The sequence below is a fragment of the Homo sapiens genome, chromosome 10, assembly GCF_000001405.40.
Source record: "Homo sapiens chromosome 10, GRCh38.p14 Primary Assembly".
NCBI classification, from domain to species: Eukaryota; Metazoa; Chordata; class Mammalia; order Primates; family Hominidae; genus Homo; species Homo sapiens.
In genome coordinates, this window is record NC_000010.11 from 69,677,776 (window position 1) to 69,702,573 (window position 24,798).

At 48.0% G+C, this 24,798-nt stretch overlaps 1 long non-coding RNA gene across 1 annotated transcript, besides 2 other annotated features; it reads left to right on the forward strand.

Moving 5' to 3' along the window:
• Positions 266-435: an enhancer, noted in NCBI's record as "experimental_17069 CRE fragment used in MPRA reporter constructs". NCBI's record gives its function as "activates a minimal promoter by MPRAs in K562 erythroleukemia cells, with activity observed for both the introgressed and non-introgressed 10:71437882 variant alleles {active_cell/tissue: K562}" and the evidence as "EXISTENCE:reporter gene assay evidence [ECO:0000049][PMID:34662402]".
• On the forward strand, positions 6,674-13,404 carry LINC02651 (long intergenic non-protein coding RNA 2651). The gene is made up of 3 exons (XR_946038.3): positions 6,674-7,343; positions 12,826-12,954; positions 13,295-13,404. It is a non-coding gene; the product is annotated as a long intergenic non-protein coding RNA 2651 (long non-coding RNA).
• Positions 8,081-8,581: an enhancer, noted in NCBI's record as "H3K4me1 hESC enhancer chr10:71445612-71446112 (GRCh37/hg19 assembly coordinates)". NCBI's record gives its function as "activates a minimal SCP1, AML or CMV promoter by ChIP-STARR-seq in primed H9 embryonic stem cells {active_cell/tissue: H9 hESC(primed)}" and the evidence as "EXISTENCE:reporter gene assay evidence [ECO:0000049][PMID:30033119]".
• Positions 13,405-24,798: the final 11,394 nt, after the last annotated feature.

Here is a 24,798-nt window from a genome sequence, read left to right on the forward strand (position 1 = left end):
GTGTTCTCCCACTCTTCATCCCTCCCCTCCCCCACTCAGCATCTAGAACAGGCCTGGGCACATAGTAGGTGCTTAAATAATGCCTGTAGATTCATTGCTAGGTGAGGTATCCCATGATTGATCAATGACCCTGGCCTTTCTATTAACACCGGGAGGTACAGGAAAACTTTTGCAGTCAGGCCTCATCTCCAGAAGTCAAGCAAATTACCCTCCAATAGCCTGACAGCCCCTTTGTCTCCCCAGAGTGGGGCTCGGGCTGCCGTTCTAGCCATCCCAGGACATTGCTCCCGACAATCGCCTTTTGCTTCCAGAGCAGGAACAGCCTGCAGAAAATCCTCCTTTTAGCCCTCCGAATCAGAGCGACAGGGGCCCATAAAGTCCAGGTTATGAAGTGTCACCGTGTCTGAAACAACTGCTTCTTTATTGCGTACGCACACACCAGGAATCCGTTCATTTCTGGGCAGCGGCTGATGGAAAAAGAGAAAGATTTTCCATGTATTTATTATGTGAAACATAACATACGGGGGACATGAATGGTGATATGTAATTAGACATAAAACGAACCAGACTTGAGGAATTGCCAAAAATCTGTGGCAGGATAATGAAAGTGCTTTGGGTGGTATCATTTATTTCACAATCTGTCATTGCAATCGACGGCCTCAGTAACCTGTTGAATGCCGCAGAAACACGGAGCTGGAAGTTCGTTTCGGGGGAGATGCCTCCCAGGCACCATCTTTGATTAGTTCCTGTGTCTTTTCTAAGGCAAAGATATATTCACCTTGGAGCCCTGGTGGCAAAGAAGCTGGATAAAGAGTGGGTGTGGAAGAGACGAAGCCCATCCCAGGCAGAGGGTAGGTGGAAGCCTGTCTGTTGATTCCCCCAGCTGAACTGGGCTGCACTGCTGTCTTTCATATCACACCAGCTAGGAGGGGTGAGAGCAGGGGCACTGTGGCAGCTTCTAGTTCCAGCTCTATGGCAGTCTCCCTTTGCAACCTTCCCAGACCACTGGAATTCCCTGGGCCTCACTTCCCAACTCTGCAGAACAGGAAGATTGACCCAAGAACATCCACATGCAAGGATGCATGCCAGGTGAGTGGGGGCCACAGTGAGAAGACCCTGATGTCTTGGCCCCTTTCATAATAATCCTATCCAGCTTGTCATTCATCTCTGAGGGTGTATGTGAAGCCTTTCAAATTAAAAACATGGGCCAGGCGTGGTGGCTCATGCCTGTAATCCCAGCACTTTGGGAGGCTGAGGCAGGCGGATCACTTGAGGTCAGGAGTTTGAGACCAGCCTGGCCAACATGGCAAAACCCCATCTCTACTAAAAGTACAAAAAAAAAAATAGCCGGGAGTGGTGGTGGGCACCTGTAAATCCCAGCTACTCGGGAGGTTGAGGCTGGAGAATCACTTGAACCCAGGAGGCAGAGGTTGCAGTGAGCCAAGATTGTGCCATTGCACTGCAGCCTGGGTGACAAGAGTGAAAACTCTGTCTCAGCAAAACAAAAACAAAACAAAACAAAACAAACAAACAAACAAAAACATGCCAGAGCTGATCCTTGTGGTAGTTGACTTTTAAATTAACTTTGAAGGTCTACTACACATACACCTGGCACTTAGCAGATACCCAAGTTCTTCCTTCGTGCTCACCAACTCTTGTCCATCTTGCTTCCTTAAGCTCCACATTTGTCTCCAACACCACCTTTGCTTCTGCAACTGCCCTGGCTCAGTCTCTCACTGTCTCTTTCCCAAATACTGTAACCACTTCTAGTGTGGTCTGGGGTGGTGAGTCTTCTCTGTTTGCCTCTCTCCCTCTCATTCTCTCTTCATTCTTCTCTGCCCTGTTCTGTGTCCCCAGACTGAACCCCTGCAGACTCCTTCACAGCCAGCAGCCAGTTCTGGCTATTGCCCATGGAAAGCCCCAAAAGAAGACCTAGGGGCTGTTTTTTGCACCATTCCTGCCCCGGATCATGTTTCCAGTCGTGGCTGCATCCTCAAAGGTCTGCAGCTCCTGCCGATGGTGCCTCCAGCTCTCACCTGGCGCAGTGATGCAATTTCCTGCCTTCACCCACTGCTTTGGGGCTCTGGGGGCCTTTTCATCCCTCACCGGTCCCACCCACCCTCCATGAGCAATAGCTTTATCATCCATGGATTGAGCCCCCTAAGTCAGACTATTTCCTGCCAGAATCCCCAGTGTACATGCTGTCCCCTGCTTCTGCTGACGCCATGCACAATTCTCAAAGCACAGTCCTGACTGCGTCTCTCCCATGCCCAGACACCATTGCCTCTCCATTGCTGCAGTCAGTGTGAAAGGGGCAGCGTGTGCAGAGGGCCGCTCATAACCCTCTGCACTTGGCTCAGATGTCCTCTTCTCTAGTCTCCTTCCTCTGTTGCTTGTCATTTCCCAGCAGAACAAGCTGCTCTCCCTAAATACAATCCCCACTGCTCCCTCTCCCCAAATCTCCATAGCTCCAAATCCCACCTGTCCATTGAGGCTCAGCTAAAATGTCACCTATTCCATAAAACTTCCCATCTTCTTCCAGCTGGAAGCAATTTTCTCCTCATCTATACTCCCAGGGGATATTATCTGTTTCTCTCTTGGTCACTTATCACTTCCCCAACCTGTATTAGGATAATTTATATACAAGCTGTAGCTTCCCTTCTGGGCTGTAAATTCCAGTGGTGCCTCTTTCATCTCGCTGAGGGCCGTGTGGAATGGTCGTTACACAGGTGTGCTCTGGAGACAGCCCTCCCAGCTTCAAAGCCTGGCTCTGCTGCTTTTTAGCCACATTAACTTGGCACATTACGTTATCCTGTGGAGCCTCTTGTTGCTCATCTGCAAAGTGGGGGTGTGCGTTTTGGGGGAAATAATACCACCTGTCCTATAGGATTGTTGGAGGATTACATGAGTTAGTACATAGAAAACAGTCTGAAGGGGGTTGGCACATCATGAGCACCCTCATATCTTCTGTTCCTCTTATTCTCAGTAGCATGTGGCTAATTCATTCCATGTGCTGTCAAGATAACGGGAGAGTAGATCAGATGATAGGGCAATGCCTGGAAAACAAAAACCTCCTCATCACAACGATTTTCCTAGATTGGTCGTGTTAGAGAATGTGACCATTTCCAAAGCTGGAATCCCATTCAGAGACAAAGACCAACTTCTCATTAAAACATCAGACAAACTGATGCCTATAGCTAATGAGTGGCCAGAGCTGGGGCTTGAAGTTCTCTCACAGCAAGTGTTCTTCTTCTATGCTCTGCCAAGCTTTTGAATAATTAGTTTCCAAACTTCTAAGCCTTAAGAGAAGTTGACCTCAAGGAGACCAGCCTGGAAGATGGGACCCCCAGTGGAAAAGGGGCAAGGACCCACGGCCCTGGGGATTCCCCAGGACTTGCCCCACCTCCTCACAACTTGGGAGAGAAATCCAAGGGTCTGCAAACGCTGCCTTGTGTTTGCCTCCTGGAACTTCACATCCTGCTTTGGGAGCAGTTTACCCTCTGAGTAGCTCTCAAAATAATGCAAGATTCCTTCGCTTTGAGTGAGAGGCATGGGCATCTTTGGCGAGGAGGTTGACATAGAGTCACTGGGAAGAGATGGAAGAGAAAGAGCCCCCATTTGTGATAGCCAGTCAGAAAGCAGAAAATAGATTTGGTCTGATGACATTTGGGCAACTATTGACCTTGTCATGGAGCCCAAAGGCACTGGCCAGGTGGGGAGGGGTTAGGTGGCAGAATTTCAGGGAGAATGCTTCCAAACCTCTGCCACCAGGAGTGTATGTCATCCCTACCCTGCAGTTGGCCGGCTCCCTCTGGGGCCCATCTAGCTACCAACGCAGATGCCTCACAAACCAGGGGTGGCGGGAGAGTGTCAGTAGAGGGTGGGGGCGACCCCACAGGTCACCCACTGAGCTGGAGTCGCAAAACCAGGCAGTATGGGTGCGGAACTGGGCTCAGCTAGCTCCATGATGCAGATATGGGACAGGTGTTCTCTTTTGGGCAGCATGGAAGTTGGAGCATGGAAGGCCAGACACCCCTGCCTGGCCTCTGTGAGATCTCTGGAAAGTCTCCTAAAGCCACCAAGTGTCAGTTTTTCTCATCTTTAAGACGGGACATGAAAGTTTCTCAGCTATTGGGAGCAGGTGAAAAGGCCTGGAGATGGGGGAGTGGAGTTGGGGGCGGGGGTTCTGGCTCACCTGAGCACCTGAGTGAGGTGAATTCAGATCCTGGTGCTACCACATAATGCGGTGTGTCCTTGAGAAATGGATAAACTCTGAGTCTCATTGTCTTCACCTTTACAAAGGGGTCATTGTGAGGGTCAAATGGTGATGCATGTGAAGAGCTCAGCACGGAGCCTGTTCATGTGATTATTAGCAAGGCACAAGGCCAGGCACACGAAGGCTCAGTAAACCTTAATAGAATGGACCATATACGGGAGGGACTTCGGCCATTACAAAGGGCCACATAGAAGCAAGGGCTGTTGTTATCATACCCAGGCAATGGGGGCACTTTTGGGTAAGCTGTGGTGGTTTCTGCCCCTGGGAGACCTTCTCCCAGCCTTCTTTGCATCTCATGTTGGTGTCCAGCCTGGACTTGGGAACCCATGCAACTGACCTTTATCCAAGAGTGGGAAGGACCCTGCTGGAAAATGACTTACTAGAGAGGAGTTAAACTGTGATCCAAACTTAGGTCTCCGTTCAGAATATTCAGCGGTCAGGACACCGGGGCCCCTTGGTACCCTTCCAGCCAGCTCTAGCTGCAGGTTGGAACAGTGGACAGGTTTGGCAGGAGTGCAGGTGAAGGGGGCAAGAGGAGGATCATTTTGGCTGTGGTGTGCTGGTTGTCTCTTGGTGTGCTCCCCAAGCCCTGGGGGGCAGGCAGAGCTGGCTGTGGGGGAGGCACTGATAGAGGTTTCTCCCATCCCTGCCCCTGCATCAAACTTTCAACTTTCAAACACCAGGGAGCCACTGTCACTCCTGTCCACATGGAGACAGGAGAGAGTCACGGGGGAGGAGCTAAGAGACTATAACAAGGCAAATATATTAAGGAAGGGGATGTAAGAACTTCCCCCACCAAGACTACCACGCCCTTGGCTCATAGACATAAGCTCATAAACACACATGCATGTATTTGTTGATACAGTACGTGTAACTATACAGACTTTGAATAAACATTTATTATACTCCTATAGGGCCCTGACACTACAAAAATGAGTCCAGTTCTGTCCTCAGGGAGTTTGCAGTTTGGGGTGAGGTGGGGGAAACTGACTCAAACAATGAGGTGTTGGTGCTATCTCTTCTATGTGCAAAGCCCAGGGGGTTTGAGAGAGAGACATTTAATCTGCTTATGAGAATCTGGGAGTGCTTCAAGAAAGAGGTGCTGATAGAACTGGGTGTTGAAGGGTGAGTAAGAGTCCTCCAGGTGGGCTAGACAGAAATCTAGTTAGATGTTGCCTCCAACAGGAAGTCTTTCCTGATCCTTTCCCCTTCCCCACCCACCTGGCCTAGGTGTCCAGGGCTTCTGATTCCTTGACACTTTGCATGTCTCTGCCACTGTGAGCCACTGAGGGCAGAGACTGAGTGTTTGTGCCCCTAGCTTCTGAATCATGTCTAACATATAGAAGACTTTCAATAAATGCTGAATAAGTATGAAAGAGAAAAGGAAGACATGCTGGGCAGAGAGTGGAGTGAGCAAAGGCAAGGAAGAGGGAAGATGAAGGGGAGTGGAGGCATTTGCCGAGGCAGGACACAAATAGAACAATGCAGGGACATAAGTCAGATGCTGCTGAAAATGGCAGCCCACAGCACCGCTTACCAACTCTCCCATGAAAGACCTTACCTTACAGAGAGGAATAAACAGCTATTGCTCTTACCTCAAACATCCTCCCAAATGCCTGCCTTTTCTCCCTCCCTGGGGAAGACAAGCAAGACCAGTGCTGCCACAGGAGTTGCTCAAGGTTGCTCAAAGGAGTTGCTCAAAGAAACCAGGAATAGGACCTGGTTTCTCTGCTGTCATTGTCCTTAGCTTACAGCCTACAGCCTGGCAAATACCAGTGCCATGGACTGATGAATGCTTTGCAAATCTGGTTCCCATTAAGTTGCCAGTAAAAAAACCCAAGAGGTTCATGTGGCAAAGTCAGACTAGATGTGAGCAGATTGACAAAAGTCCCAAAGAACTGAACTAGCCCCATGGCTCTGATACCCCTCGTGGGTTTGAAAATATCCAGCGATGGCCAGGTGCAGTGGCTCACACCTGTAATCCCAGCACTTTGGGAGGCTGAGGCAGGTGGATAACGAAGTCAGGAGTTTGAGACCAGTCTGGCCAAGATGGTGAAACCCCGTCTCTCCTAAACATATACAAATTAGCCAGTTGCAGTGGCGGGTGCCTGTAATCCCAGCTACTCGGGAGGCTGAGGCTGGAGAATCTCTTGAACCTGGGAGGCGGAGCTTGCAGTGAGCTGAGATTGCACCACTGTACTCCAGCCCGGGCGACAGAGCGAAAAAAAAAAAAAAGAAAAGAAAATATCCAGGGCTCCGGGGGATAGCCCTTGCTTTCCAGTGTTCCTAAAAGAAGATAAAGTCACACTATCAAATAACAAATGCCTCATCAAAACACAACCCAGAGATCAGCCCAGTTCTTCCAACAAGAAACAGGCCAGTCATGACAGTATTATAATTATGATGACGAGGAAGGGAATGCTAGCCAACCACTCCCCTCCCCGCCCCGGCCTCTATCAGGGGTAAGCCCAGGAGGCAGGAGTGCAGAGTGGCTGAGGGCAAGGCCTCTGCCCTGTTGGAATAGCCTGGGCCTGCCCCTTCCTAGCCTGTGAGCTGTGACGGGGATTCAGTGAGGGTCTCAGGCTGTGTACAGCCCAGGACAGTGCCTGGCTCAGAGTGAGTGCTCAACAAGCTTTAAGTGTCGTTAGTATTCTTGCTGAAAACATGAAAACTAACCCCAGAGCTAAGCAGTGGAATTCTGCCCGTGTTGGGGGTGAAGAGACCAAAGTTCAGAAAAATTCATTAACATGTCCAGGATCATACAGCTGGAACAGGGGAACAGGCAGGGCTGAGCTCCAAGTCCAGGCAGGCTGAGCCCAGAGCCCTCGCTTTGAAGCTGTTTTATATGACTCCTTAGCAGGAAGCTACTCAGGGCGGACTGACTCAAGAGCATTGTTTCCTGGAACTCCTGAGTCCAAGAGCTGGGGGAATGCTGGAAACAAGGAGAAGGAAGGCAGAGAATGCTTGTGGAGGCAGCAAGGAATAAATAGATGCAAGAATATTGGAAGGTGTCATAAGAGGGATAAGGAACCAATCGCACCTCTGTCTCGCCCCATCCCCTCTCCAGGTGAGAAGTGCTGGCTCTGTGTGAGACTTTATGTCAGACAGGGGCTCAGTGCTGACCGTTCAGCCCTGTGCCTAGGGACAGCCCTTCAGCCTCCTTGACGATTTCCTGATTTAGTCTGGGTCTGAGGGCACCTCCTCATCTGGCCAATTCAGGGTAAAAGAATTTGGAAAGCTCAAACACTCAAGAAATTTAGTTTTTTGTTTTGTTTTGTTTGGTTTTGAGAAAGGGTCTTGCTGTGTCACCCAGGCTGGAGTGCAGTGGCACAATCACCATCACTGCTCATTGTGGCCTCAAACTCCTGAGCCCAAATGATCCTCCCACCTTAGCTTCCTGAGTAGCTGGGACCACAGGCGTGCACCACCACACAAGCTAATTTTTTTTTTTTTGTAGAGACAGGGTCTCACTATGTTGCTCAGGCTGGTCTCAAACTCCTGTGCTCACACAATTTTCCTGTCTCGGCCTCACAAAGTGGTGGGATGACGGGCATGAGTCACTGCGTCTGGCCAAGAAGCTTAGTTTTTAAAATAACAATCAGTAAAATAGGTTACAACTTTTCAGTCAAACCTGTCAGGTGAGATGAAAATTCAGGAAAGCCAGGCCACATTATTTTCAGTTAAGTTCTGTGAAAACTTCTGCAAAATCAATCAGAAACTCCGTCAGTTCATCTCAAAGTCCTGGGAGTCTAGACAGAAGTTCAGGCTTCGCATGTACTGGGGTGGTTGGTCGGAAATTTGGTGAGGTCGGTCCAAAATCCAGCAAGGTCAATCTAAACTCTGGATCAGTCCCAAGTTTAGTGCGGCAAGGTGAAGTCCGAGCGGTGTAGTCAAATATTTAGCCAGATTCATCATGACGTCACCCCGACCATTTGGGGTTGGGTAGGCCATCGGGTGTGGGACTGGGTATGTGATGGGCAGACAGACAGGCAGAGGATTGGCAGTGTGCGCAGGCCTGGGAGCCAAAGTGGAGACTGAATGGTAGTTTCTGGGGGTTTCCAGAACCACCTCCAGCAGGAGCCCAGCTGGGGAAATTGTGAGGCTGACCAAGAGTAGTGCGTGGTGCTCCCAGACATGTCCCTGCCACTTCCTTGAGGAGACCTGAAATGCTACTCTGTTGACCCCTACAACCCCAGCACATTGCTGAGCTGCCAGCCTTCTGACGCCTACCCCCTGTCCAGCCACTGGGCAGCCAGCCAGCATGTTTTGGCCTAAAGGACAGCAGCTCTGTGCACACACGTAGCACACGCTTGTCCCCACACGGCCTGCCTGTCTGTTCTCCCACGCTCCTTTCCCTTTCTGGCCAGAGCTGAGCAGGCAAAGCCAACAGCTGGCCTGGTGCCCTGGTGCGTGGAGGTGTAGCTGGGCTCTGACCCAGCTCCTCAAACAGGTTCCATATGGCCCTCCCGGCTGCCCCCCACTCCCCTTCCCCACCTTGACTGTTTCTGAGATTAAAACCCTTTCCTGGTTTCCCAGCAGTGGCAGGGAGGGGCTGCCACGCTGCTGTTGGGGCTGAGCCGGTGTGGAATACTCATCAAATGTTAGCTGGAGGGGGATGGATTTCTTGGGCAGTTGGGTGAGGGGGCATGGAGGGGAACACATGGCTTGAGCACAGGAGAGACCTGTTGGCCCCTGCAGCCCAGCTGCAGCCTCTGGAGAAGCTCCTGAGTGTCTGACCTTGGCAACAGGACCTCAAGACTTCAGTGGGAACAGACAGCCTTCTGGGCCTCTCTACTTCTCTCCTTGTACCCAGAATTCCTCCTGCAGCTAAGAGGGGTGTGATGAAAGCAAAGAAAGGGACAGCTGGGATGGGAGAAGCCCTGGGGGGAGCAGGGAGGCTCCCACATGTTGTACCCTCCGGTAACACTCAGGCCCTGGACAGTCAGCAGAAATTCAGACATGGCATTGGAATGGGGTCCTGGGGCAGCCATCCCTGCTGAGCCTGGTGCCTGCCCTTTGGTAGCAGGGCTGTGGGAAAGCCTTGGGATGCTGGGAGCAGAGTAATAGGGTGTGGTGAGAGTAGGGGATGCTCCAGGAGCTTGGGACTGCAGCTATCTACCCCTGGTACTGAAGTATTTGAATATTTTAACAGCCAGCTTGGTGGTCCTGGTGGCCCCCGCTGAACCTTAGCCTTAGGTTAGAGCCCATCTCTGCTCTAGCTCTGGCTTCTTCCCTGGAAAGGCTTTTGTTGACCGTGAAACCTGAAGACATGCACACACACAAACATGTGAATGTGTGTGTGTCTGCCTGTCTGCGTGAACTCTCTGGGCTCCCAGACCTTCTAAGTGCCCAGAAAACCCAGAAGCACTTGCCCACTCTTGCACTTTGCCTGCCCTTGTCCTCCTGCCCCAGCCCCACCATGTCCAGCCCAGAGACTAGTCCAGAGGCACAGCTGATCCACTTCTGAGCCCCTGGCTGAACCATGTCCTGGGGCTTCTTAACTCTTATCCCTCCTCCATCCTGTCCCAGACTTGTGCCTGGGAGCTGGCTGGCATGACTGGGGCTCTGAACATTTGGAAGGCTTCCATTTAAACTGTCTCCCTACCAGACTATCCTCCTGCCCAGCCAGCCACACCATTGGCCCAGCTCTGGGAGCCTATCCCACATGCCTTGGAAGATCAAAGCAGGCTCCACGTCCATTTTCAGTGATGACATCCGGCTTCAGCAGGTGGTGATTTAGGATCTCAGCTCTGGAAGGCCCTCAGGGATCTCCATTCTGGCAGTCTCATTTTCTCATGGAGACCCAGAGAGGAGGCTGGCTGGGACTGGAACCCCAGTGTCCACAGCTCCTGGAATTTCACCAGGAGAAAGGGAAAAAGTGGACAAGGAGACTCAGCTAAGACAGACTTTCCCTTCTTCTCCTAGAACAAGCTATGGGTGGAGGAAGGAAAAGACTTTGGAGATTGTTGTCTAATGGCTTAGTAGTCCTGCCCATGCCCATGCCTTGGCCACTTCTCCGCATCTACATGGGGTGCCGGGACATCATGGTGCCTCAGGTGGACCTGCAAGAGGTTGCAGGGCAGTTTCAAGGGCATGAAGGAAGCCTGATCTGTGAAACATTTTGCAACATTGGTGCGGATAAGGGACCCGATAAAGGAGCTCAAAGAGCCTCAGTCCCACCTCCTTGCCCGTCTACTCCTGCTATGGTTTGAATGTTTGTCCCTTCTGAAACTCATGTTGAAACTTGATCCCCAATGTAACAGGATTGAGAGGTGGGGCCTTTAAGAGGTGATTGTGTCATGAAGGCTCTGCCTTCATGAATCCATTCATGGATAAAGGTGTTAATGGATTAATGGGTTATCATGGGGCTGGGTTAGTTATCAGGAGAGTAGGTCCATTATAAAAGCCATTTTGACACACTCTTGCCCTCTCACCACATGATTCCTTCCACCATGTCATGACACAGCAAGAAGGCCCTCACCAGATGCAGCCCCTCAACCTTGGACTTCCCAGCCTTCAGAACTGTAAGAAATAATTTCCTTTTATTTATAAATTACCCAGTCTCAGACATTCAGTCAAGCAACAGAAAATGGACTAAGACAACTTCCTTCCTCTCACTCTCTCTTTAGCTGTTAAAGCTATTGCTATGCACAGGGAGAGAATGGAAGCTGATTTTGTTTCTCCTCTGGGGGTGCTGTTTGGAAGTCTGGGGCTGAGGAAGGAGCAGTCATGGCCCCAGCCAACTCCTTGCATATGTTGGGGGGTGGGGGATGATAAGGGACGCTGTGCACCTAGCCTAGCTTTGCACTGCCTTGTCCATCGAGCCCAACATCCCTTACAGACATCTGGAAGCCCTTTCAACAGTCCATATCCAGATGTTCCAGGTCAGTGGGCAACTCTGAATTCTCCTTCCACCCTCTCATATCTGGGCTCTGATCATTGGTTTCTCCCCCAAGATGTCTTTCCAGGGACATCCCTGTTCTTCCAGCTCTGCTCAAACTCTGCTGAAAGACTTTGGTTCTCTGCCCTTCACATCGTTTTCTTGAGACATTGCATTCCTCTGCTATCACTCTGATCCTAATAGTCACAGTGAACAAGGTGGGATACACTTGATTGAGATGTTAACAGGTATTTTTCTCCTGGGGGTTTGCTCTGCACTCCCCATTCCAGCCACTGAGCCTGGATTAGGAAGAGGGGCAGGACAGATGGTGGGTGGAAACAATGGAGTCTTCCTGGCTTTGTACCCTGCTAACCCCAGACCTTAGCAGACATGAGAGGTTGTAAGGGCTTATTGGAAATGTGGGAGCAAGGTCTGGAATGGCAGCAGGCAGTGAACATTGAAGAGGGGCTTCCCTGGAGAGTTCCAGGAGGCAGCAAGATTGTAAGAGGGAAGGGCTGGGTAGCAAGTTCAGGCAGACAGCCTGCCTGGCTTCCCATACCCAGGTGAGGCCCAGATCTGAGAAATAGCTCCTGGGCCCTGGCACCTTGCGGACAAGAGGCAGGGGAAGGCAGGTATGAGGGTCAGTTTGGTGATGAGTTTCAGGATATGTCCACTGAGGCATGACTTTGTGGGGCGAATGCTTCAGGGAGACGCCAACATCTCTCAGAACCTGGGGTTATACAAAAGCCCCCATAACTCAGACTCCCCTTGGGGAAAACTGGGAGTTTGCCCCAAATTCAATGAGATTGTGTCTACTGCCACAACTGAGTGGGGAGCTCAAGCCAGCCATTAAATTGCTATAGAAAGGTAAATTATTTTGCCTTGCATGGCTGAGTTACAGCTCAAGCATGGAACCCACTGCACTAACACTGACAGGTCCTGGGCAGCGTGTTCTTTGATCCTCATCATTAGCTTCAGGGGGTACATGCTGTGATTCTTCCCATTTTACAGACAAGAAACTGAGCCCGCTGGGCGCGGTGGCTCACGCCTGTAATCCCAGCACTTTGGGAGGCCAAGGCGGGTGGATCACGAGGTCAGGAGATCGAGACCATCCTGGCTAACATGGTGAAACCCCGTCTCTACTAAAAATACAAAAAAATTAGCCGGGCATGGTAGCCGGTGCCTGTAGTCCCAGCTACTCGGGAGGCTGAGGCAGGAGAATGGCGTGAACCCAGGAGGCAGAGCTTGCAGTGAGCCGAGATCGCGCCACTGCACTCCAGCTTCGGCGAGAGCGAGACTCCGTCTCAAAAAAAAAAAAAAAAAAAAAAAAAAAAAAAAAAAAAAAGAAACTGAGCCACAGAGGCACCTAGCAGCTTTCCCAGGGTTGCAGAATTGGTATGAGGAAGTGGTCCAGATGCAAGCCTGTGTCTGTTTGACTCCCAAGTCCATGCTCCTCTCTGTCCCTCCCTGCACCGCTCCACTTAGAAGGATACGAAGTGAATTTAAACATCTTAGCCACAGTGTTGGTGGTTAGCCAGTGGGTCTATGCATGCCTTTGTCAAAAACATGTGCTCCAGCCTGTGTTTTCTCTGTACCGTCAATGTTTGGATTCTCCAAAAGCCCAGCCCCAAGGTATCCCTCCTCATCTGTCTTTTTGCCCTCATCACAGGCTTGGGAGCAGATCCACACCACTACAGCTATGATTTGGAAGGAGCACAGCCATCACTGATGTCACAACAGTCCCCGCAATTCCACAGCACAGTGTTGATTTCATTGCACCACAGTGTAGCTCTAGGAGGTAGGGCAGGATTCGTGCCCATTTTATAGACAAAAATGCTGGGGTTCAGGGCTTGACCTAGGCCCCATCGAGGAAAGTAATATGGTTTGGATGTTTGTCCACTCCAAATCTCATGTTGAAATGTGATTCGCAGTGTTGGAGGTGGGACCTGGTGGGAGGTGATTGGATCTTGGGGATGGATCCTCATGAATGGCTCAGCACCATCCTCTTGGTGATGAGTGAGTTCTCGCTCTGAGTTCACATGAGATCTGGTTGTTTAAAAGTGTGTGGCACCTCCTCTACCCTCTTGCTTCTGCTGGCACCAGGTAAGACATGTCTGCTCCCACTTCACCTTCCACAGTGAGTAAAAGCTCCCTGAGGCCTCCCAGAAGCTGAGAAAATGCTGATACGATACTTCCTGTACAGCCTGCAGAACTGTAAGCCAATTAAACGTCTTTTCTTTATAAATTACCCAGTCTCTGGTAGTTCTTTACAACAATGCAAAAATGGCCTAACACCGACAGAGAGGAGCTGGAACTCAAAACAAGTTATTTTTTTTCCCCTAAACTTGGCCGAAGGTGGGAATCTCCTGGTGTGTTTCCTTGGGTCCCAATTCAGACCTTAAAATCAGAATTTCAGAGAAGAAAGTGCACAGCCCCTGCCCCTTCAGATAAAGCTCTGTTGCCAGAGATTTACAAATTTATTTGAAGCCTTGGAACGTTTTATTCCAAAAATCTTTATGCTGGAGAAAAAACCCAGTGTATCCAAGGGGTAGGTGATGTCCACCCTCCATCCTACTCAGAGCCCCAAGGGTGCCTCTGGGCCTGGGTCAAGCACCATGAACCACACTCTCATTCAGATTCCAAGTCTGCCACTCATCAACAGTGGCCCCAACAATTTTTGCCAACTTCCCTGTGCCTCAATTTCCTCATCTTTACAATGGGAAAATAATGTTATCTGCCTTGCAGAATTGTTGTGAGGATCAAATGGGCAAATGTCTGTTAAGTACTGAGAATAGTGCCTGGCATATAAGAAGTGCTAAATAAATAAATGTCATTCATTGGGCCACTGTGTCTTGGCTGATTTTTTTTTTTTTTTTTTTTTTTTTGAGACTGCATCTCCCTCTGCTGCCCAGGCTGGAGTACACTGGCATGATCTCAGCTCACTTCAGCCTCCACCTCCTGGGTCTGAATGATTCCCGTGCCTCAGCCTCCTGAGTAGCTGGGATTACAGGTGTATACCACCAAGCCTAGCTAATTTTTTTTTATTTTTAGTACAGATAGGATTTCACTATGTTGGCCATGCTGGTCTGGAACTCCTGGCCTCGAGTGATCCACCCACCTCGGCCTCCCAAAGTGCTGGAATTACAGGCATAAGCCACTGTGCCTGGCCTTGGCTGATTATTTTCTGAGGACTGAATCCATGTGTTGGCTGGTTTAAATGGTTGCCTTGGTTAAAGGAATGATTAAATGGCATCATCCTAATGAATCAGAAAGAAAAATAGTCAAAGCAATTGTAAGATTTAATTGGTTTGTTTGGGGTGTTTTAAAATAATAGTGATCAGTTTGCGGTGGGTGTGGTTGCTTTGCACAGGGTGACCAGCCACCTCTGCAGGCATGAGCAGGCTGGGATGTGAGCAGATTTGATTCCAGCCCCCACCAGGCTTCCGGGAGAAGTTCCCATGGAGGCAGACAGACATCAGACGGAGGCCCCGTCGCCGGTGTTTCCTTGGTTGCTCAGGCCCTCTCAGAGCTGCTGTCAGGTCAGATCCTGGAAACCCTGAGTGGTTTCCCAGCTGAGGCCTTTGAGTGCTGCTAGTTTGTTCTGCCCTGTTTCCTCTGGGGGAGCTGAGCAAAGGGATGGATTATTCACTTCCCTCCTCTCTTCCCCTATGGGGTTCTTTTTAGAAGGGGTGGCTTGGTCAGCTCTGGGCAGGAAGGGTGATGAGGGAGGATAAGGCCAATCATTTTCCACCTCCCACTCTCTTTTCTGAGTGCCCTAAGAAGTGGCTGGACAGGGGACATCCAGGACCTGGGGTGGTTCCAGGACGGAGGCTTCCGGCTGCCATGGTTGCCCTGGGGTTGGCTGGAGCCAGGACCTCTCTGGAGAGGCACAGAGGGAACTTCAGGGGAAACCACATTTACATCCAGGTGAAATCAGTTAGGCTGATCATCAAAGGGGTAGGAAGGATCCCAGAGAGGAAATGAGAGATCTGGTCATGTTGCTTAACTCCCTGGTCAGTGGCTTCTATTGCCTTGAGGATAAGGTCTCCAATCCTACAGGCCCACCCCGCCTGACCAGGCAGCATACCTGCCTTGGCATGTGAGGGCCCCTGTGCCGTGAGCTCAGCTCCAGACCCCTCCTTGATGCTCCTTCTGCCTCAGGGCCTTTGCACACTGTTGCTCTCCCCCGACCCTTTACCTTCTGCAACTCCTTCTCAAGCTTCAGGCCTCAGGTGAAAGTCACTCTTTGTGAGACGCCCTCCTTGACATTCCTCCCCCAGCCCCTGTCTAGACCAGATGAGGATATTTGCTCCTCCCCTTATCGTGTATACTCCTTCAATTTCTCCTTCAGGGCCTACGCTCAGTTGTAACTCTTTATTTAGTGTCTATCATTCCTTTTTGAAGAGGACAGTAGCCATGTCTGCCTGATTCGCCATGACATTACCAGCCCAATGACAGGGACACAGTAGGTATTTCTAAGTATGTGGTAAATGATGGATGGGCATTTTGGCCCACCCATTCTAACGGGTGCCTTGAAGATGGCAGAAGTTACAGGGAAACAGCATATGGCTTTGCATTTGGAAGATCTTTCTAGTAGAGTTGGCCAAGAACTAAATGAATATGTTGCTTTAGGGAGTAGTGAGCTCCCTGTCACTGGAGGAGTGCAAGCTGAGGCTGAGTGACTGTATGTGGAAACACTTAAGAAGGAACCTGAGTTTCTGGTGTGGAGTGAGTATAGACCCTGGAACAATCTTTCCAACCTTGTGAAGGTGAGATTCTAAGGTGGCAATGGGGTGATGGGGATGGACTGACATCTTCTGAAGTTCCCTCTGTGCCTCTCCAGAGAGGTCCTGGCTCCAGCCAACCCCAGGGCAACTATAGCAGCCAGAAGCCTCCATCCTGGAACCACCCCAGGTCCCGGATGTCCCCTCTCCAGCCACTTCTTAGGGCCCTCGGAGAAGAGAGTGGGAGGTGGAAAATGATTGGCCTTATCCTCCCTCATCACCCTTCCTGCCCAGAGCTGATCAAACCACCAGACTGGCATGGACTGGTTGCCATAGAAGTCCCTGGTTTTCTTTAGCCCAGAGAGGGACAACTACCTCCTTGTCTCTGGTTTGTTCCTGAGTCACTGCCCAACCAGTAGGTGGGAACTTCTAAAGTCAGAGTGGCCAACCCAGTGCCCATAGGGGCCAGGCTTGGAACATGGGTAAGTGGGAAACCCAGGTGCCTAAAAATGAGGGTAAAGAACTGTGGCAAGGACACATGGTTATCAGAGAGGCTACAGGGACTGGTGGGGACTATGGCAAATTGGAGGGAACAGACCCAATTTAAAGGGGTCACCTCAGGCCCTGGAGAGATGTAAACCTGAGACTGTCTAGATATTTAGCTTTTTAAAGAGAAGCAGGAAATACGAATTTTTATATAAAATCTAATTCATTTTCTTTTTTTCTTTTTTTTTTTGGTTGAGACAGAGTCTCGCTCTGTTGCCCAGGCTGGAGTTCAGTAGCACTATCTTGGCTCACTGCAACCTCTGCCTCCCAGGTTCAAGTGATACTCCTGCCTCAGCCTCCCTTGTAGCTGGGACTACAGGCGTGTGCCACCATGCCTGGCTAATTTTTGTATTTTTAGTAGAGATGGGGTTTCACCATCTTGGCCAGGCTGGTCTTGAACTCCTGACCTCAGGTGATTCGCCTGCCTTGGCCTCCCAAAGTGCTGGGATTATAGGTGTGAGCCTCCGCACCCAGCCAAAATTTCCTAATTTTCAAGTGTTGGCTACTTATGAGCCAGACAAAATCCATCTTGAGGCTATATTTGACCCTCTGTTCTGATTCTAAGATCTGGGGATGACTTCTCCTTGTCCCCAAAACAACTGAACAACTTTTCCTTTCCTACCAGATTCCCCTTGGCCCCTGCAGTCCTGAGTCAGAGGCCCCAGCTCACAGCTCTGTCTTGAGAGCATCTCCTCTCCTTTCTGAAGATGGCCCTGAACTGAATAGTGAGAGACTCTAGCCAGGTCTGCTCTGCAAGGCTGATCATCCATCCTCCAGCTGCTGGGACTCTTAGCTGTGGATGGCTCACAGCTGCATTCTGGAGACTGCCTCCTTCTGGGTCATATCTGCTGCCATGGGAGACTACAACCAATGACAATCTGATATTAGGATATGAAGGCCCACCCCGTGCCTCAATTTGGGACCATGCTGGAGGACCATCTCAGCTGCAGAGCCCCCCCATAGGATGGCTGAGGCCTCAGGTGCAACCTCATCATGATTCACCTCCTTCCTTTCCCAGTCCTGCCTTGCTTGGCTCCTTTTGCAGGGAGCACCTCCAGAAGGCCTAAGGAACCCAAGCGAGGCAGGACTGGTTCTTTCTGCACAAATCTCTGCATCAGTATTTCCAAAGAGTCTCATGTGAAACACGCAGCCTACCCACTTTCTCAGAGACCTAATTTTTTTCTTATCAAAACTTCTCTCAGGAAAGGCTCTGATAAGCTTGTTCACATGGAGGTATCCGTGGTTGATAATAGCTCAATGGATTTATTTTTCCAGAGTCATCTGCTATATATTTATGAGAATCTTATGTCGAAGGGTGGATGAACTTCCAGGGTAATGAGGGAAGATTGGGGCATTTCTGATTTATCAGTGAATCAGGGGCTGCACCATGCCAACAGCCTAAAGTAAGACAGGGTGATTCTAAGCCTCGTAAATGTTGATTGGTGAGGCTGGCTCTTGAGATCTGCCATCTTGGGGCTTTTAAAGAGTGAATCAGCAAGGTGTGACAAACAGGGACCCGGCTAGCTGTGTGACTGCTCCTTTCTGGAGCCCAGTTTCTTCAACTGATTGATGGTAATATTCACTATAAAATTGTATCCACACATGAGCTTAATTAAGATATTAATATAGTCATTTTTGGACACACCGGAAAGTTAGATGTAAATGCCTTGGAATGGAGACTCCCAAACTTCCTCTTTCCATAGCACCCTTAGTGTCACAGTAATTTTTTTATTACTTATGTGCCCCCAAGACCAAAAGAAACACCAAAGAGATCCATTATTAAGTAGTTAGGTCTAAATAAATCAATGTGTATGTCTGTCCTAACAACTTTGTAGCCATCTAAAAATACACATAAAGGAAAAGATATTTTTATTCCATTCTTAACCACAGTTATTTACTAATGGGATGTATAATATGTTGGGTACTGCATGGTTTCTCAAACCTTGGAATCATATCGGATGCCATCACCTCATTTCCTGGTCCACAATGATTTGCACATGGTATTTGCTTTTTATCACAGCAACCACCAAAACACTTCGCAAAGATATGATGTCACTGAAAGGAATGTAGTGGGCCCTAAAGCTGAAACTGGTAGTGTGCGGAGCATCCGGCAGGTGTCACTGTACTTCCCACAAAATTTAAAATATCCCTGCAGCCACTCTGTGAATTGGCGATGGTGCCCCCAGGGGCCTCAGTGCAAGGTTTGGGAGCAGTGGCCTCAGGTATTAACTATGGCTGTATTCAGAGAGTAAACTTTTGGATAATCTTTACTTCTTTCTTTCTACTTTTTCCTCGTCCCTTACATAACAAGCATGTAATAATACTTAAATAAGAGCCAAATCAGAGAGATGGTTGTACAACATTGTGAGTGTATTTTAATGTCGCTAATGATAAATTTTTTGTCATGTGTCTTCTACCACAAAAAAGCTATTTTAAAAAATCAGAGAGGCCAGGTGTGGTGGCTCATGCCTGTAATTCCAGCACTTTGGGAGGCCGAGGTGGGCGGATCACAAGGTCAGGAGATTGAGACCATCCTGGCCAACATGGTGAAACCCCGTGTCTACTAAATATACAAAAATTAGCTGGGTGTGGTGGTGCGTGCCTGTAGTCCCAGCTACTTGGGAGGCTGAGGCAGGAGAATCGCTTGAACCCAGGAGGCGGAGGTTGCAGTGAGCCAAGATTGAGCCACTGCACTCCAGCCTGGGCAACAGAGTGAGACTCCATCTCAAAAAAAAAAAAAATATATCAGAGAAAAATGTAAGATTTGTATATTTTTTAAACCCCAAACCCCTCAGGGAAGTTGGATGGGATAAGGCAAGGACAAGATCTATGAGCTGGGATGCTGTAGGGCGTCCCAGCAGCCAGGCTCTCAGACTTGCATCCACCCAGCCCTGCACCCGCCCACCCAGCTATCCACACCAACTGGCTGCCTGCTTCCCAGGGAAACACACCTGTATCAGAGCATTTAACCCACCACTCTCACATTCCACCTCTCCCTGGAAGAAAAACCTGTTTGCCATTCTGCTGGCTGGCTTCCTTGTTGGTGCAGGTAGAAAGCCAGGCTCTGGGAACCCAGCAGACATGCTGTCAGGAGAACTTCCTTTGCAGTGGGATGTGAGCTGAGGCAGCGGGAGACCACTGGTTTGTGTTATATCCTCTGACTCGACAGTGAGCACAGGGACTCTCAAATGTGACATTTCTCCTATTGGTGCTATCTATGCCTGTCCTTTCAGCCAGGTGGATCAAGTCATTTGCTGCATCGTTTTACATTGTGGAAAACCTCCTTTATGTCTGGCTTAATACGACACGCTGAGGTTCCCGTACCTGTTTCTGCCTTCAAACTGTTCCTGCGGGCTGTTTTTGGAAGAAAATCTGGTCTCATATGGATATGTGGTTGGAAAAGGGAAGACCTTGTGGGACCCCCTGAAATGGCCAGGGGACCTTAGACCATACTTCGAGAATCATCACCTTTCAGCAATGGTTTAAATAAGCCGAGAAAGCTTTCCTCACCTTCATGTAACAGCTGAGGAAACTGAAGGCTCTGAAAATGACATGATGTTGTGAAGATCTTACCCTGCTTTAATGCAGGAGGCAAGGCTAGGAACTGGCTCTTCTGTCTCCTGCTTTGGGGCTATTTCCATTACTAAAGGAAACAAGATTCATGATGCTCCTAAAGTACAGCCTCCTTAAGAGTTCCTTTCATGAAGGTTAGTGGAAAACCCTAAGTTTTTATTTACCTGAAATATATATTTTTTGAAACGATAGTTTTGGAAGATAGTTTTGCTGCATATAAAACTTTGGGCTGATGATTAATTTTTTCCTCAGCATTTGGAAGGTATTTCCCCCTATCTTTTGGCCTCTCCCATGGCTGATAGCTGGCAATCTAATTGTAATTTTTCGGTAGATGAGTGGTCTTTTCTGTCTGGCTGCTTTCAAGATTTTCTCTTTATCTTTGGTGATATAAAATCTCCCTTCAGTAGGACCTGGTGTGGATTTCTTTTTATCCATTCTGTTGGATGTATGATGCATATACATTAGAAATGTGTCTTCCTTTCAGTGTGGTGATTCCTCAAGGATCTAGAACTAGAAATACCATTTGACCCAGCCATCCCATTAGTGGGTATATACCCAAAGGATTACAAATCATGCTACTATAAAGACACATGCACACGTGTGTTTATTGCGGCACTATTCACAATAGCAAAGACTTGGAACCAACCCAAATGTCCATCAATGATAGACTGGATTAAGAAAATGTGGCATGTATACACCATGGAATACTATGCAGCCATAGAAAAGGATGAGTTCATGTCCTTTGCAGTGACATGGATGAAGCTGGAAACCATCATTCTGAGCAAACTATCACAAGGACAGAAAACCAAACACCGAATGTTCTCACTCATAGGTGGGAATTGAACAATGAGAACACTTGGACACAGGGTGGGGAACGTCACACACTGGTGCCTGTCGTGGGGTGGTGGGCTGGGGGACAGATAGCATTAGGAGAAATACCTAATGTAAATGACGAGTTAATGGGTGCAGCAAACCATCATGGCACATGTATACCTATGTACCAAACCTGCACGTTGTGCACATGTACCCTAGAACTTAAAGTATAAAACAAACAAACAAAAATGAAATGTGTCTTCCTTTATCTGTAGATCTGTGTATCTAATTCTCAAGCACTCTTTCAAAATGATCCCTCTCTTCTATTCTTTCTATTGTCTCCTTTCAGGACTCTGATTACATCTGTGTCATATACTTTATTCTATTGTCTACATCTCTGAACCTTTCAAGTATACTGTTTCTCTCTCTCTGTTGTTTTCAGGGTTATTTCTTTCTTTCTTTCCTTTTTTTTTTTTTTTTTTGAGACAGAGTTTTGCTCTGTTGCCCAGGCTGGAGTGCAGTGGCATGATCTCAGCTCACGGCAACCTCCACCTCCAGGGTTCAAGCAATTCTCCTGCCTCAGCCTCCTGAGTAGCTGGGACTACAGGTGGGTGCCACCACACCTGGCCAATTTTTATATTTTTAGTAGAGACAGGGTTTCGCCATGTTGGCCAGGCTGGTCTCAAACTCCTGACCTCAAGTGATCCACCTGCCTCGGCCTCCCAAAATGCTGGCATTACAGGTGTGAGCCACTGTGCCCAGCCAGGGTTATTTCTTTAGCTCTATCTTCTAGTTCATGAATTATCTTTTCAACTTTGTCTAATCTGCTGCTTAGCCATTTACTGTTTTCTCTTGTTTGTTTGCTTCCAATACTGAGGGTGCAATTGTCATTTTGAGTGAGAAATGCTTTGTTTTGAAGGGCTGTCTTATAAATTATGAGACTTTTATCATCCTTTAGTTTCCCCAACTAAAAGTCCAAGTTCAATTAATGCCCCAGACCTTTCCAAATAACATGAGGCAGGGGGAAGGCAAGAAGTACCACCCTTGGCTGAAAACAATTTGAGGGAAAATAAACACTAAGTTCAACCCAAAATGTGTTAGCTCAGACTGCCATAGCGAATACCATGCAGTGAATGGCTTCACAACAGATTTATTTCTTGCAGTTCTGGACACTGGAAAGTCCAAGATCAAGGTGCAGCAATTTAGTTCCCCGTGAGGGCTCTTTCCTGGTGAGAAAATGAGGACCAGCTTCTCACTGTGTCTTCTCATGGCAAAGAGATCTCTCTGTCCTCCTCTTCCTAGAAAGCTGCCGTCCTATTAGATAGTGCCCCACCCACATGACCTCATTTAACCTTAATGAGTTCCTAAAAGCTCATCTCCAAATACAGTCACACTGGAGGTTAGGGCTTCAACATATGAGTTTGTAGGGGGAGACACAATTCAGTTCATGGCATAATGCAAATCAGAAGGCAAATTTTGGTATATGATACATGCAAGATTATAAACCACCTATGAAGGTGTAGACCTAGAGCTCCATTCTTAAATAAATAGATAAGTAAATAGGAGAAGGCACTGAATTTAAAGCATAATCTCCAGGCCTGGCACAGTGGCTCACTCCTGTAATCCCAGCACTTTGGGAGGCGGAGGTGGGTGGATCACAAGGTCAGGAGTTCGAGACCAGCCTGGCCAACATGGTGAAACCCCATCTCTACTAAAAATACAAAAATTAGCAGAGTGTGGTGGTGCGTGCCTGTAATCCGAGCTACTCAGGAGGCTGAGGCAGGAGAATTGCTTGAACTCAGGAGGTGGAGGTTGCAGTGAGCCGAAATCGCACCACTGCAGTCCAGCCTGGGTGACAGAGTGAGACTCTGTCTCATAAATAAATAAATAAAACAAAACACAATCTCCAGTCATCAGGGAGTTTAAAGTCTATTTGGGAAAACAATATAAAAATCTGAAAGTTAAAAAAAACAAAGCATTAAACAAAAGTTTGAGATCCATGTAGAATAAATGCCACAGGGTACTCTAGCTTAGGGTAAAGAAACAGCAGCTTTCTTAATGTAATTAAAATATGAGCTATGGCATTTCTCTCCATCTATTCACTCTCTCCCTGGGAGAGCTGATAGAGAATGCTGGAATATATGTGATAGAGCATCCACATTTACCTGAATATGAGCTACCTGGTACATAATTTCATACTGATGCCTCCTCTATATACGTATTTAAGAGCTATACCTTATGTCTAAAAGCTTTTTATTTTGAAATAATTTCTAGATTTATAGAAGAGTTGAAAAGACAGTATGGAGAATTCTCTGTACCATTCTTCCAGCTTCTGGTAATATTAGTATCTTACATAGCTATATTGTCAAAACTAAGACATTAAGGTTGGTAAAATACCATTAACTAAACTACAGAGTTTATTTGGATTTTCTGTTTTCCACTAATGTCTTTTTGTTTTTCTGTTTCAGGATCCAATCAATGACATTACATTGCATTTAACTGTCATGTCTCCTTAGGTCCCCAGTTTGTGATAGTTTTGCAGCCTTTCTTTGTCTTTCATGGTCTGGATGATTTTGAGGAATGCTGGTCCGATGTTTTGTAAAACAGCCCCCAAGTTGGATTTCTCTGATGTTTTCTTATGGTTTGACTGGAGTTATGGACATCTGGAGGAAGAATACCACAGAGGTAATATGCCCTTCTTATAGCATCCCACTAGAGAGTACATGATATCAATGTCTTATCACTAATGATGTTAACCTTGATCACTTGGTTAAGATGGCATCTGCCAGGTTTCTCCGTGATCAGTGTTACTATTTTTCCCTTTCCCTAGCTATTACTTAGAAGGGAGACATAAATCCAGCCCCCCTCAAGGAGAGGAGAGCTAAGCTAAACTCCCGTACAGAGGTGCATCAAAGAATTTGTGGACATATGTTAAAGCCCCCACAGTAATTAATAAGTGTTTGAAGGGTGATAATTTGAAGCTATGCAAATATCCTCTTTCTGTAGTTTGCCCACTAATTTTAGCATTAGTCAATGTATCTTGACTGCAGACGTCATTACTGTCATCTTCTAATTCTCTATTGTCCTCATTCACTAATCAGAATTCTTCTATTAAAAAAAGGGTTCTCTTGGCCAGGTGCGGTGGCTCATGCCTGTTATCCCAGCACTTTGGGAAGCTGAGGCGTACAGATCATTTGAGACCAGGAGTTCAAGATCAGCCTAGGCAACATGGCAAAACCCCATCTCTACTCAAAATACAAAAATTAGTCAGGCATGGTGGCTCACACGTGTAGTCCTAGCTACTGTGGAGGCTAAGGAACGAGACCCACTTGAACCTGGGAGGGAGAGGTTGCAGTAAGCCAAGATCGCACCACTGCACTCCAGCCTGGACAACAGAGCGAGAACCTGTCTAAAAAAGAAAAAAACCAAAAATCAAAAACAGGGTTCTCTCTTCTCTAGCATTTATTTATTATTAAATCATTTATTTATATCAGATTTTTTTTGTTGCTCAAATTGTTACAGCTTTGGCTATAGGAAGCTCATTCAGTGTGGCTCTTGTGCCTTTTGATTTTTTTTAACATAAAGTACTTCCTTACTTTCTGGCACAAGGTGCTTTAGGTCCATCTCATATTTTTTCTGCCCTTGACATAGCATCACACATTTTATTGAGGTTCCTTTTATTGGACATTGGCAATTAGAAACCAATACCTGGGCATGAAGTGTCCTTATTGCCCCTGGGTGTCATTGCTTCTAGTTCCTCTCAGTGGACAGAGCTAGAAAATTATGCATATATACTAATCCATGTAAACACATACCTCCATCTACCAGGTAGCTTTCTATCTATCTACTAGGATCCGAATGTTTGTCTTCTTCAAAACTCATGTTGAAGCTTAATCCCCAATGTGGCAGTATTGAGAGGTGAACCCTCTCAGAGGAGATTGGCTCATGAGGGCTGCCCTCATGATAGATTAATTCACTCATGGATT